At 39.3% G+C, this 15,721-nt stretch overlaps 2 annotated features.

Annotated features, from left to right (window-relative positions):
* Positions 222–1,421: an enhancer, noted in NCBI's record as "MED14-independent group 3 enhancer chr2:224413358-224414557 (GRCh37/hg19 assembly coordinates)". NCBI's record gives its function as "activates an origin of replication core promoter dependent on BRD2, BRD4, P300/CBP and CDK7 cofactors, and independent of MED14, by STARR-seq in HCT116 cells {active_cell/tissue: HCT116}" and the evidence as "EXISTENCE:reporter gene assay evidence [ECO:0000049][PMID:35650434]".
* Positions 15,113–15,407: an enhancer, noted in NCBI's record as "tiled region #14563; HepG2 Activating DNase unmatched - State 8:EnhW, and K562 Activating DNase unmatched - State 9:DNaseU". NCBI's record gives its function as "activates a minimal TATA promoter and a strong SV40 promoter by Sharpr-MPRA in HepG2 cells, with weaker activity in K562 cells {active_cell/tissue: HepG2 | K562}" and the evidence as "EXISTENCE:reporter gene assay evidence [ECO:0000049][PMID:27701403]".

The raw sequence follows: 15,721 nt of genomic DNA on the forward strand, positions 1-15,721 counted from the left end.
TTTATCCTATGACCTAGCAATCCCATTTCTAGAAACCTACCTGAAACTATTTCCCACAAAAGGAAACAACATAGGCACAAAGTTATTCACGTAGGCATCATTGATAGCTGTAAAAGATTGAAAACCATCCAAATATTCAACAACTAGAGACCTATTGAATAAACTATGGTTCATCCTCACAATGGGGTACTTTGCAGCTATAAAAAAGAATGAGAAAGAGCTTCATGAATGGGTATGGAATGAATTTCAAAATTCCGTATATATTGCAAAGTTATAAGCATAAGATGCAAAACAGTGCACATGGCATAATATGATACTTTTGTGTATATATATTTTAAAAACTGATAAAACAAATGAAAATTGTTACTTACAGGGCTGAGTAGCAACAGGGTCAGGGGAATAGGGATAGAAATGAGAATTCTATGAGTACACCTTTTGAATCACATATTCAAAAAGTAAAATTAAATCAAAAGGACAAAAAAATTCATGTCAGACAAACGCAAAATATCAGCAGGTTGAATTTACCCACCTTTTCTGCAACCATTGACCTATGCAATTACATACAGTCTTAAGGACTTCCTTGGCTTTCTAAGGTGCATTCTGAGGCTGTGAATAGAAAATATGGCTTGGGGAAGGAGAATTAAGATTTAAAATTAGGTTAGGCTGATTGCATTCACCTTCATAAAGACTAATAGCCAGTTACATTATAATTAGCTGCTCAATTCCATTACCTTCACAATGCATAGAGAAATATTACTCACAAGTTTTTCATTCTGTCTTTTCATCTTTCTCCCAAAGTGATTTTGATCACATACCAAGTTCAAAAACTTATTATTCGGTTTCTAAGATTTCAGGAAACAAGGCCAACTTTATCCTCATTTCCATCATCTGACTCACACACCAAGCCCCTGAGGCAGCAACGCCGAACATATTGGTATCAGCAATTACAGGCTGACTCATCCAAGAACGTGCACAATTAACCTATTGAACATCTCTCCACCGGGCTTTTCATCCTCAGTAGGACCATCTGCACCACATTCACCCAGGGCAGGAGCCCAGCCAACCCAGTGTGCATTCCCACGCATTTCCGCTTTGATGCCAAGCCAGAAGCAATTCATAACCCCACAGTGCAGTGCCGCATCAGCAATGGATCTCAAGCTCAGAACATTCACTCTAAGCTGAACAGACCATTTCTGGGTTCTCTGCTCCTACCATGCTAACCCTGAAAGCACCCCAAAACTTAAGAAAGGGATTTCCTACTGTTGCAATGCTTCATCTAACAGTTAACAAAATATTAATACTATAGGGCTTAAGACTCCAAATTCCAAGTTTTATTTGGATATAGGTTTCACCACCTGGTTCAGTGAAGGGCCATAGGAAAAATCACTTACTCTCACTAAATTTCAGTGTCCTCATTTGTTAGACACCCAGGTAAAAATTTTTTTGGTAAAAATTTAAATGAGGTACTTGATAGGTACTAGAGTTGCAAATAAGTATTCTGGCCCCCTAGTCAATGTACTGAGAAAAATTAGTTCTTATTTCTAACTGATGACATCTTCTCCCTAAGAATTCCCACCCAACCCACCAAGAGTAGAAAAAAGAAACAACACAAACAACAAAACCCTGAACTCTGCCGTTTAAGAGCTCTCAATTCCTTCCAGTTAAGAGTATCCTTGGGGTAACACAGCGTATTTCATGTACACATTCACCTCGTCAAATCTTCCACCCTACTTCTCTTCTGCAAGGAGGATTACTAGGATGACTTAACGGTAGCAGGGAAAAGGGATACAACTCCAGGTGCCAACTCTGGTATTCACTGATCTCTACTGCAGAGTGGCTGGCTGGTCTGGTTCTGCCCTGGCCTGGGTTCTGTGAAGGTCCAAGTGACAGGGTTGTACCTGGTTGGGAGTGGTCATTCTATGCTGCCCACTGCTCAAGCCAGCAGCTGACACAATGATGATCTATTTATTTGGCTCGATCAAGACTTGCCTTGCCCACTGGGTCCCAATTCAGTGTGCAGGTGTGCCAGGACTCCTGTCTTTCCCTGTCCCTGGCAATTCTACCCCCAGAGAATTCTTAGCTACTCTCCTTTCTGCCACCAGAAAAGGCTTTTAGGAACTGCTGGGTCCCTTGATATCCCACTGGAGATAAGTGCAGCTCAACAGAGCTAGCACGTGTGGCCACCTCTCTACTCCCTTTTTATGCTATCACTCCCCTGAACACTGGAGCCAATAGCATTAGCAGTTGTCTCTCAGGGTTTCAAAGAGGGAATGGGATCAGAACCATTGTTTCCAATATATCTCGTTCTGCAATAACACTCTCCTTACTCTGGCCCTCCCTGGAACTTTGGTTCAAAAAGAGGTATCAAAACATTTGTTGTAATCATATGAAAAAAGCTCAGCATCACTGATCTTTAAAGAAATGCAAATCAAAACAACAATGAGATACCATTTCACACCAGCCAGAATGACTATTATTAAAAAGTCAAAAAATAACAGATGCTGGTGAGATGGTGGAGAAAAAAAAAGAATGCTTATACACTGTCGGTGGGAGTGTAAATTAGTTCATCCATTGTGGAAGACAGTGTGGCAATTCCTCAAAGACCTAAACACAGGAATACCATTCGACCCAGCAATCCCATTACTGGGTATATACCCAGAGGAATATAAATTATTATATTATAAAGATACATGCCCGTGTATGTTCATTGCAGCACTACTATTCACAATAACAAAGACATGGAATCAACCTCAATTCCCATCAATAACAGACTGGATAAATAAAATGTGGTTCGTATACACCACAGAATACTATGCAGCCATAAAAAGGAATGAGATCATGTCCTTTGCAGGGTCATGGATGGAGCTGGAGGCCATTATCCCTAGCAAACTAACAAAGAAACAGAAAACCAAATACCAACATGTTCTCACTTATAAGTGGGAGCTGAATGATAAGAACACATGGACACATGGTAGGGAACAAGACACAGACACACTGCGGCCGTTTGGAAGGTGGAGGATGGGAGGAGGGAGAGGATCAGGAAAAAATAACTAATGTGTACTAGGCTTAATACCTGGGTGATGAAATAATCTGTACAACAAACCCCCGTAACACAAGTTTATCTAGGCAGCAAACTTGCATTAGACCCCAAACTTAAAATTAAAGTTTTTTAAAAATAAAAAAAGATGTCCACACAAAACAAACAAATAAAAAAAAAACACAAACGTTTGTTGTTTTCCAACAATGCTGTCTTCACACAGGCTCTTTTCTTTGTCTGGAAGGGACGTTGCAATGTTATATCCTTCTTCTGGTAGTGGCATCCAACAGGCCCACTTCTCTGAGGCCATAAAAGTGCATGGGGAACAAGAAAGGAACCAGTTTACTGATAAGGGAAGTTCCAAAGTAGAGTTTCTTTGTTATTTATGTACAGCATTTAGCATTGTGTCTGGCACAGAACATGCGCTCAATAATGGCAGCTAGTACTAATAATAATATTCTGTATTTGTTCGAGGAAGGCTCTCCTTCTCCACACTTTTTCAAACTAAGTCAAATTATGAAAAGTCTAAGTCTGGATGCAGTTGCTCATGCCTGTAAGCCCAGAACTTTGGGAGGTCGAGGCAAGTGGATCACCTGAGGTCAGGAGTTCAAGTCCAATATGGTGAAACCCCTGTCTCTACTAAAAATGCAAAAATTAGCCAGGTGTGGTGGTGTGCATCTGTATTCTCAGCTACTTGGGAGGCTGAGACAGGAGAATTGCTTGAACCTGGGAGGCAGAGGTTGAAGTGAGCCAAGATCGCACCACTGCACTCCAGCCTGGGCAACAGAGAGAGACTCCATCTCAAAAAAAAAAAAAATCTATATGTTCATGTGTCAGTTGAATTTGCCTTTATTGATACTAAAGGCAACCAGAAGGTCCATGTTTGTCTTGTGAGTGTTGTAAATGATTATTGATTCAAATGTACATACAGGCTTTATCTCTATTTTCACATTGCCAATAGCCCTATTACCCTGGTTTTATGATGCCAATGAAGGAGAATTGTATGAAAGTCTCCCTGTGGAAAGATATTTCTAATACTTACTAATTTGTGCATTCATCTGTGCAGCATATATGTCTGGGAATACACGAATAAAATACAGTTTCCGTACCTTCTGGACATAAGACAAAGAGCTTATTCCTTAATATACAAAGAGCTTTTACAAATCAATAAGTGAAAAAACACAAAATTTGAGCAAGGATGTGATCCACACAAACACATACACATACACACACCCACACAAATCCTATCAATATTTTTTAGTGTTCAATCCACTCAGAGAAATGCAAATTAAATTTCTAAGATATTACCTAAGAGGATGTTATAATGAGACTGTTTCTGTGTCAGTTTCAGCTGAGGCAGGAAAACATTAAATTCAAAGGAGACCACACTGCTAAACTTTCTAATTCAATGATCCAGATCAGCCATCTTTTAAACCTTTCATCCATAATAAGGAGGGAAAAAGGGCTAGAACACTGGAGATTGAGGGAGGATTTCAGACGAGTGTTGCTCGAAAGCTACTAATTTCCTGTGTCCCTCTCCATTAGGGAGCTGTAAGGGGAGTCTTTGTCTATCACCTTAAATCTAGAGAGAAGAGTTTCAGTGGGACTACCAAGAGCATTTGACACATGCCCCTGAAGTTGGGAAACACAGACAATTGATGTCAAACTCCAGCCTGGAAAACCTCCTTAACCTATTGGCTCATTCAGCACATATTTATTGGGTGCCTACTTTGTGCAAGTCACTACTGTACAAAGAGCCGGGGATACAGCAATGAAGAAGGCAAATGAGGCAACACCACCATAGAGCATACAATTTCATGAGAACCAACGACTTTGCGTTCTGCTATCCAAATTTAAATGGTGATCATTCATAAAGATTAGATTTGGGGGAATGCTCCAAGTGAATTGTGGATAAATCTATGCCATTGAGGCATATATTAGTTCACCCCCTTGGGCAACTAGCTTCCAAAACTCCTGTAAAAAGAAGAGCTTCTAACTACTTGCTTTGGTGTTTTGTTTTGCTGTTTCTGCAAGTGATACGCATTCAACTGATCTTTTCCTTCTTCATTTAAAGTCCTGTTTATCAGACTGCTTTTGCTATGAAAAAAGAAAGCTCTTCATTGCTGATGGATAGTTTTTCGTTTTTGTTTTTTTTTTAAAAAAAAGGTCAAAATAAAACTCTCAACAGAACATCAGCATTTAGTCTGGCTTCAAAGAATAAATAATTTTTTTCATGAAAGTTTTCACTTGGAGCCTGATTTTCCCTGGAAAGTAATCTTCTAACCAATATTCAGCCTGTGCCCTACCGTCAGTACTTTGTGAGCTTCAAAGTGGGAATTCAGTGAAATTTGATGGGCAAGCAACATGCTCAGAGCTGGACTTGGCTCTGTTCCCCTGGTTGTCTCCAGCTCAGCCCTCCGATTTAGGATGTGACAGAAGGAGTTGGAGGTTTGGGCTTAGCCTCAGAGAAGGGCAGCCCCTGCTTCTCTCCCAGGGACATTGAATGTTCTACTTCACCCACATCCTCTTAGGAATCGTCATCACTTAACAGGTCTTCTTTCCCTCCACGTCGGTATTCAGCCGTCTCACTGAACCTAATCTTCCTCCCTGCCACCATGGTGTGCTGGTAAAAGTTTAACCACCAACTCTGGAGTGGGAGAGCCCTGATTTGTAACATTTACTGATTACTGTGGTGTAAATACCCTCACTGTGGTCGATTTCAAGCTACCAACCTGCCACCACTGAATGCAGAGTTGGAAAGAGATGCTAACAGGATACCACGTGCCAGTCCCACGTGTTTACTTTTCTCATTCCTCGTTTCTAGACTTCAGATAAGGTGACTGTGGAACCACGCCACCTCTGTTTTATGCTTTGTTTTGTTTTCAGAAGAAACCATCTTTTTCCTGCTATTTTGGATTGTGCCTCACTGTCCTGGTGTCTGCGTTATCCTTGTCACCACCTGGCATCCATCTGTTTTCTTTCCCTGGCATTCTTTCAGATATCATGTCAACCTCTGCCATCTTTTAGTTTTCTTTAGCCACCCTTTGCTTATGGTAGCTGTCTTTGTTCCTCTGAGAACCTAGCTATGGTTGATTCATCTCATTTTTCCTTGCTGCTGGACCTCTAAGGATGGCGTGGTTGTGCCTGCTGTCCCTTCCCAGTGGCTTGATACTTGATCCATGGAACGGCTGGCATAGATAAGGCCACCTAGCAGCCAGTGACTTCTCATCCCCCGTTTCCTTATTTTTGCACAAAGCCCTTTTGCAAGATTATTCTTCACATGTACACATCCACCCAGGCTATGGGTAGACACGTACGGCACATTTCAAGTGTGCTGGGAGATGTATACCTCCGCCTTCTCCTTGATATAGCTAAGAGTTCAGAAAAGATCCACTTCAAGTCTCCACCAACAGCTTTGTCTCTGAGGAAGCAATTGCTGCTGCAGCACTTCGTAGGAAGCCATTAGCTCTGGCACAGCTTCATCGCTTTGGAAATAGGAAGATTAAATGGGAAGAGTTGGGAATGTATTGTGATACCCAGGGAATCTATAACACAAAAATAACAATATGTGGGAAAATATAATGCATTCTGTTATTTCAGATGATTCTCATTTCATCACAGAACCTCCTTTTACTGAAGGGAAATGCTTCTGAGGTCAGATAAAAAGGGAAGTGTTTTTACCAGGGAGTATTAACCTTGTTATTCTCAAGAAAGCTTTCTGTGTCTCCTGATCGCTTCCCTGGTGGTTGCACCTGGGAAGCCTGGGACCAACCTCTATCTTACCACATAACAACAGCTGGTAACACATTCCAGGAAGATGCGGATGAGTGGTGAGGAAGAAAAGCTCTTCCAGAATAACTGATATACTCAAGATTCTCTGTATGCATGCGCTTACACGATTTTTGTTTGCTTGTTTTTTAACTTTTTACTGAGATGTAATTTCAAATGAACAGAAAATTTGCAAGAATGTATAAATACCTGTATACACTATACCCAAATTCATTACCCATTTATATTTCTGTGTATTTGGTTTTGGTCTGTGTGTTTACTTACTGGCTTGGTTAGTTGTGTCTTTTCAAATAATGCAACCTTTTGGTGTCCTCATTCCCTAATTTGGGAATTTGGGGTTTTTTCTTTAATGATTAGAATAAAGCTATGTTGTTTCTGACCCAGGAGTTAAAAAAAATAAAAATCAATAAAAATAACAGAATAATGCTTCGGGAAGTTCTGACCAATCAGTAACGTGCACTTTTCAGTTTGGAATCCAGATCTGATCACACTGTAAAGGGGCATGACATTTGAAGACATGGATGAAGAATGATGTGAGAAGTTGGGGGCAGAGGAAACTTATTGGACAACACTGAAAGTGAGGAGAGTCCTACTGCAAAGGAGTGAGAATAAGATCATCAAGAAAAGCTGAGACAATTAGGGGCTATAAAGAATTAAGTAATAATGAGTGTTAAACCTTTCAATGGAGTTACCTTTTTTGTATGTGACTATCTAAGAACTGTGGGGAGGGGAAAGAATAAACGAAAAAGAAAAGGCAAATACTGCTTGAGGGAAGAGTGTGTCATTATCCCTAGGCATTAATGCCACCTGAAGGAGCTCATGGTGCTCCACCGCACACACGACGGAGTGATGTTCACAGACCGCCAGCTCAAAGTTGCTAACTAAATAAGTATTCTCTGTCCCAAGTCCCATTACAATTCCAGAAGAAATATAAAAATACAGTCACTACAGCTCTAAAAATGCAGAAAAGTTGTCAAAGATGAAACAATCGATATTGATCTACAACTTTTACTCATCAACAAATATTAATGAGTGCACACTCTGTGTTAGGCAGGCAGAAGTTCCTGCTCTTAATGCATTTGCATTCTTGTGGAAAACAGTTCCCATCCTCATGGGGTGGTTGACATTTGAAGAAACTCCATGCAGACCAACAAGGGAGTTTTTTCATCAGAATCCCAGAATAACAAAAGGTCTCAGGACTGTAACTGTAGACATGAGAGAGATTTCTCAAACTATAAGAGAATGCTCTGTACAGATGTATGCCAAAAATCTTGAAAATATACATGAAATGGATGCATTTTTCAGAAAGTTTAAAAATATGTGTATTTCACTCAATAAGCAGTAGAAGACATGGAAAGATGAATAGACACTGGCAAAAGTAACAATTTGATCAAATGACTACTAAAATTTTTTAAAGACATCACACTTAGACAGGGCACGGTGGCTCACGCCTGTAATCCCAGCACTTTGGGAAGCTGAGGTGGGCAGATGATGAGGTCAAGAGATCGAGACCATCCTCGCCAACATGGTGAAAACTCATCTCTACTAAAAATATAAAAATTAGCTGGGTGTGGTGGCACGCGCCTGTAGTCCCAGCTACTCAGGAAGCTGAGGCAGGAGAATCACTTGAACCCGGGAGGCGGAGGTTGCAGTGAGCTGAGATCACACCATTGCACTCCAGCCTGGGTGACAGAGTGAGGTTCCTTCTCAAAAAAAAAAATAAAGACATCACACTTAGATTCCATAGGCAGATTAGATTCCATAGGCATGGAATCACACTTAGATTCCATAGGCATATCCAAATCTGAATAGATAATATACTTATGTTATACAAATTTCTATGTCCTGTTCCAGAACACAAAATAATTGATAGAATACTTTCCAACTCATTCAGTGAAACTAACTATAACCCTGGTACCAAAACCAGACAGAAAAAAGAAAACATAAAGAAGAAAACTATAAACAATGAATTAAATTATAACCAATTTATTAAACTATAGACAATCAATTAAATTACATTCCTTAATAAGATAAAGGAGACACCCAAATAATTGTTTTAACAGATCTTAAGACATGTTACTTAGTATTTGATAAAATTCAACACCTGTTTCTATCTTTCAAAGGTATCAGTAAGTAAGAAATAAAAATAAATTTATTTTATAAATGTCACCTAATGGAAGTTGAGAGCAAACACTTTACCTAGGTAAAACATTTGAAGCACGTTCATAAAAATCAGTAAGGTGATAAAGATGGCCATTGTCACCTTTGCTCTGGGCAGTCCTGGCCAAAGAAAAAAATATGGAAAAATATAAAGGTATAAATTCATTTTGGGAACAATGAAATCAAAAACTAATTATCTTAGATATGATCCTCTACCTACAAGACCTAAGATAATCTAAAGAGGAAAAAAATGTAAGAAATAGTAAGAAGTACCTTAGGATTCAGCCATCCCACTTTTGCATATATATCCAAAGGAAATGAAATCAGTATGTTGAAGAGATGTCTTCATGCCCATATTCATTGCAGCATTATTTAAAACAGTTCAAACCGGGCACAGTGACTCATACCTGTAATCCCAGCACTTCGGGAGGCCAAGGTAGGTGGATCACCTGAGGTCAGAAGTTCAAGACCAGCCTGGCCAATGTGGTGAAACCCCGTCTCTACTAAAAATACAAAAATTAGCTGGGTGTGGTGACATGCACCTGTAGTCCCAGCCACTCGGGTGGCTAAGGCAGGAGAATCGGCTTGAACCCCGGAGGCAGAGGTTGCAGTGAACCGAGATCATGCCACTGCACTCCAGCCTGGGTGACAGAGCAGAACTCCATCTCAAAAAAATAAAAATAAAACAGTTCACAGTTCACACAGGGAAACAACCCAAGTATACATCAATAGATAAATGAATTTCTTTCTTTCTTTCTTTCTTTTTTGAGGCAGGGTCTTGCTCTATAACCCAGGCTGGAGTGCAGTGGCCTGATCTCGACTCACTGCAATTTCCACCTCCCAGGTTTAAGTGATTCTAGTACCTCAGCCTCCCAAGTAGCTGGGACTACAGGCACGCCACCATGCCCAAATAATTTTTGTATTTTTAGTTGAGACAAGGTTTTGCTCCATTGTTGGCCAGGCTGGTCTTGAACTCTTGACCTCAAGTGATCCTCCTGCCTTGGCTCCCAAAGTGCTGGAATTACAGGCATGAGCCACCGCACCCAGCCAGATGAATGAATTTTTAAAATGTGATATAAACACACAATGGACTATTGTTCAGTTTAGTTTTGGTTTGGTTTTTTTGAGACAGGTTCTTGCTCTGTGGTCCAGGCTAGGGTGTAGTGGCACAATGATGGCTCACTGCAGCCTCAGCTTCCCTGGCTCAAGCTATCCTCCCACTTCAGCTTTCCGAGTAGCTGAGACTACAGGTGCCTGCTACCACCCCTAGCTAATTTTTTGCATTTTTGGTAGAGACGGGGTTTTACCATCTTGCCCAAGCTGGTCTCTAACTCCTGGGTTCAAGTGAACTGCCCGCCTCGGCCTCCCAAAGTGCTGGAATTACAGGTGTGAGCCCCTGTGCCCATTCTTGTTTAGTTTATAAAAAGAAGAAAATTCTGCCACTTGTGAAAACATGGATAAAGCTAGAGGACATCACGCTAAGTGAAATAAGCCACTCACAGCAGGGTGAATACTGCATGGTTCCACCTATATGAGGTATCTACAATAGTCAAACTCATAGAAGCAGAGAATTGTTGCCAGAGGCTGGAGGGGGTGGGAAATGGGAAGCTGTTGTTTAATGAGTATAAAGTGTCAGCTACACTAGATGAATAAATTCTAGAGAGCTGTTGTACAATATAGTTCCTGTAGTTAATAACATGGTATTGTGCACTTTAAAAGTTATCAAGAGGGTAGATCTCATGTTGTGTTCTTACCGAAAATCAAAAATGAAAGCAAAAACAAAGAGACACAAGGAAACCTTGAGAGGTGTTGGATATGCCTATTACCTTGATTGTGACAATGATATCATGGGTGTCTGCATATTTTCAAACTCATCAGATTGTACATATTAAATATGCACAGACTTTGCTTTATTAAAGCATCATTGGACAAAATACCAAGTCCAATTAGCATGTGAAAAGATACCTAACCTACAAAGTAATCAAGTAATCTCACAAGTTAAAACAACAATGGATGCCAAGTTTTGTCCATCAGACTGGCAAAAATAGAAAATGCTGATAATAACCAGTGCAGGCATATATATAGGTAAATTGGGACTTGTAGGCTTGACAGAGAGTACAAATTAAACTTTGCAACTGTAACTTGGTGTCATATGACAAAATTACAACATACATGTCTTTTAAATTAGAAATTCCAGCAAATCTATAAAACTGTCCAAGATACATGCAAACAGATATTTGTATACGGAAGTCAATAGTTAATATTATCTGCAATATAAAAAATTGTTGTAATCTAATTATTTATAATAGTCTAAGCATTATACAGTGTATGGCAGATGTATTCTGTGAAATACTACTCAGTCATGGAAAACAATGAGGCAGCTATAATAGTCTGATATTAATCGCCAATCATGATTTTTGTTAGAAGGTAATCAACATGCATTTCTTTCTTTTCCCTCCTGACTGAATTCCAATTCACTTAAAGTAGCAATGTGCCCAGATGAAGGTTTTCTTGAGAGATGGGTAGGTAATGTTGTGCAAACGGAAGTCGATGGGTTTCTGGAAAAGCTAATTAAGAGCGACTGGCTGATTAAATTACATTCTCCCCATCAATTTCTTCATCACTCTTGTCTGTATTAGTGATACAATGGCTAGCTCCTGTAGCTATCTTGAATTATGAGATGATCTGGAAGGTGAAAGCCATATGCTAAGAATGGCATATGGAAAGGGTAAAAACGGAAGGAGTGGAAAACAAAAAGCATTTTTCAGAACAATATGTGTAAAATATCTGATCTGTGTTTTTAAAAACCATGTAAATGTGTTTGTATAGAAAGAAAGTCTTTAACAATATACTCAAATTGGTATGAGTGGCTTTTTTATGGAGAGAAGAGTGTATTGTTATAAGTTTAATGTTATGCGTTATGGGGAACTTCCTTTTTTGATCTTACTTTTGAATGGTTTTAATTTTTAAAAGCTTATTGCATGCTGTATTTGAAACTTTTAAAATAACTAAATATATGTAGCCTTGTGTTTTTAGTACAACTTTAATTCTGAATACTCATTTATATTTGATTATTTCAAATGCTGCAATTTTGATAAAATGGCACTAAGGCCAAAAGAGACCTTGTAGATTTTCCAATTCCATCTCAAAATTTGACAGGTATGTCCATCAGTCTAGAAAGGTGAATAACCGACCTCAAAGAAATGCAGCTACCTTACAGCATAGGTCTGGAGGAGCCAACTAATTAAAAACTTAATTTGGAAGCACTAAATTAATTAAAAACCTAATATAATTCAGGTGCTCTGTTATATATGTTATCATTTATTCTTCACTTAAACCTTATATGATACCTATAATATCTCTATTTTACAGATGAGGAAAGTAAATTTTGAATAGTTTAACATAATCAATTTCCCTGAGAATATACATCAATTAAGGAAGGAACCTGGATTTAAAATCTGATCTACTTGCTTCAGCCTCTTTCCACTTCACCACATTGCCGCCCACACAACCCCTTGTGCAAACATTGTAAACAATAGCGTGGCCTAGCAGCTCCCAAGTTAATTTCCCCCATTATTATTTATTTGCTAAGTGTTATACAACAGCCACCAGAGAACCCCATCCCCAGGGAACCTGTCACTGTAGACTGTGCACCTAGACTGCTCACGTGGACTGCCTGATTTAAAATTGGTCCCACGTTGCCAAAGGAGGAATGTCAGTTGTTCCATTAATTGAAATGACATGACATAAAATATCAGTGATGCATGGCCAAAAGGCTCCCAGAAAACAAGGAAACATTGATGAGAGATAGGCCAGGGATTTCAAAGTTTCAAGAGACAGTATCCTCCACTGGGTTTCTGTAAATCAGTCAGCGCTTAGTCATCAAGAAAAGTAACAACAACTTCAGGACCAGAGACACTGATTTTCTCCGTGAAAGCCAATCCAGTGGCAATGCGAAGACATTACAGGACAAAGGACAAGCCTAATGGCAGAGAAGCAACACAAGCCCCAGAAGAGAGATCTCACAGCAAAATGAAAAATTCAAGAAATTCTGAAATTCTTTGAACTTATTTTCTTTTGTCATAGTTTTTTTTTCATTTATATCTGTGTTTAACAGTTTTTAAAGCTTTCTTTTCCCAAACCTTCACTCAAAATGCATACCCAGGAAGATTTGTCACATTCAATTTGGAGTTTCCATAGAATACCTGAAAATTATACAGAATTGAAAACAAAAGATGAATTATCAGATTCAGAGTACAACAGGTCTTAACCAGGGTAAATGAAAATGTTTCCACACTGATGCAACAAAAATAAACCATACATACTGTTTTAGGGTAAAGATTCTGACAGAGTATTAGAATATCATATCTTTCTGCATGAAGGGAGAAGAAATGAATTCCAAGATTCCACTGGCTAACAAACCAAAGAAAAACTATTTAGCATATCTTCCAAAATTATCGACATTAATATGTATATTGTTATCTATAACAACCAATTTATATAAACACAATTGACAAGCTTGATCTAACAGATATACATGAAACTCTGCATGGAATAATCAGAGAATAAAATTGATTAGGTCACAGAACAAGTCCCAATAAATGTCTAACAACTGTATTTTCACCACCAGGCCATAAAGTTTGAAATCTAGTTTTTCAATGATAACTTTCTTTTAAAAAAATTATACATACTTAGAAACTTAAAAACACGTGTATAGATAATGTATGGCTCAAAGAAAGAATCATAAGGAAAAATCAGAAAATACCAGAAACTGAACTACAAATGTCCCAGAGCTCTACCTCACCTGCATTCCTGTCTCCTCTTTGAGAAGAATCTTGTATTAGTCATTTACCCCTCAACATGAATCTCAGGCAATGAGCTCTCTGCCTTGGGGAAATTTCCACTTAAAGTACATCAGTGTCATAAGGGCCTAGACAATGAGCCAGTCTTGTGGGTTCAAATTTTGTTTCTGCTCTTTACTAACTATGTGACCACAGATAAGTGACTTGTCCTCTTTGTGCCTCGGTTGCCTCATCCATAAAGTAGAAATAACAATAGCTATATCAAAAACTGTAATGATGATTGAATATATCTAGCAGTGTGTGTGTGGTGTGTTTATACTGTTAGAATAGTGCCTGACAGGCTGGGCACGGTGGCTCACACCTGTAATCCCAGCACTTTGGGAGGCTGAGGAAGACAGATCACGAGGTCAGGATATCGAGATCATCCTGGCTAACATGGTGAAACCCCGTCTCTACTAAAAATACAAAAAAAGTAGCCAGGCGTGGTGGTGGGCGCCTGTAGTCCCAGCTACTCGGGAGGCTGAGGCAGGAGAATGGCGTGAACCCGGGAGGCGGAGTTTGCAGTGAGCCGAGATCGCACCACTGCACTCCAGCCTGGGAAACAGCGAGACTCTGTCTCAAAAAAAAAAAAAAAAAAAAAAAAAAAGAATAGTGCCTGACATGAAGTGAGCACACAACAAAGTGAAATGTTTTTGCTCTATTCATTACTAGCAGAATATCAGTAAACAGGTAGAGATGGTATTTAGGGAACAGGGACTTTGCAAAAGCCCCAAAATCCTGTTTTCAGGCAGCTTTCTCTCTACCTATCATTGAATCCAAACCTACATTTTAGTTCAACCAAATTAAAAATTGTCACTTTTCTCGCCATCTCATACTACCACGGTCTTTGTCTAGGACTTAGCAATGTTTCCTTGAATGATTAGCAGTTCTTCCACTCTGGAATTTTCATCTGCAAGCCCTCCTCAAGTCAGGGCCAGAGGAGACCAATAAAATTGGGGAATTCTAGGATCATCCCATTCAACAAACTCCCTCCACAATATACTGATGTAGCATAAAAGATTAATCCCATTAGAGAATAAAGAATTATGTTTCATTCAAATAAAATTTAAAATTGAGTTGGACAAAACTACCTTGGTAATACACATGGTATTTGTTTGTAGTAACCATCCTTTCAATTAAGAGCAAAACATCTCCTAAGTGAGAAGGAGTTCAGATTGTTGCCTTTGCTTTGCCAAGCCTGCAAGAAGAAAATCTGCAGCATCTGGAGAGGTGAAATTTGCTCTTTATTCTCTTTACATGGGCCATGAAGGGCTAGACCTCTCATTTTAAAGGTGGTGGAGCTTTCTCTCTTCTCCCTGCAGGTGTCATGTTGTAGTGGACACTTCCATCATCTATGTTTAGTGATTACTCACTGCTTCCCATGTGTGGGAGGAAGAATGACTCATCAGGTTGTTTAGAAAGAATCCAGGACAAAGGGACAGGTTCTGTGCCTTTCCATCTGCCTTCCAGAGACAGCCTGATATTCCTTCTCAATCTCTCTTTCTCTCTCTCTCTCTCTTTCTGTTTCTTTCTCTCTCTCATTTTCCCTCCCTCCCTCCTAGCTTCCAACTTCACTGCCTATAAACATGTGAGGAAATCAGGCTGCCCCTGCTCCATTTGTCTGGTTGTCTTCAATTTGGGGCGAAAATCAGGGAAGGGACCTTTTTTAATATAGCCAGGGACCCTGCCTTTCACAGTAAAAAGCAACTTGATGGGCCATTATAAGGGCTCCTGTGAGGCTTTCAGTTCTTTGTGAGAATAAATTACTACCAAGAACTGTGAAGGAAAAGGGGTGAGTCTACACTTCTAATATATTCATACTTACCCCTAATTTAGAATTAGGAATATTAAGCAGTTTTTACTAACTGGGATTTTTTTCTAATATATAATTATT

This window comes from Homo sapiens, chromosome 2, assembly GCF_000001405.40.
Source record: "Homo sapiens chromosome 2, GRCh38.p14 Primary Assembly".
Taxonomy (NCBI): Eukaryota; Metazoa; Chordata; class Mammalia; order Primates; family Hominidae; genus Homo; species Homo sapiens.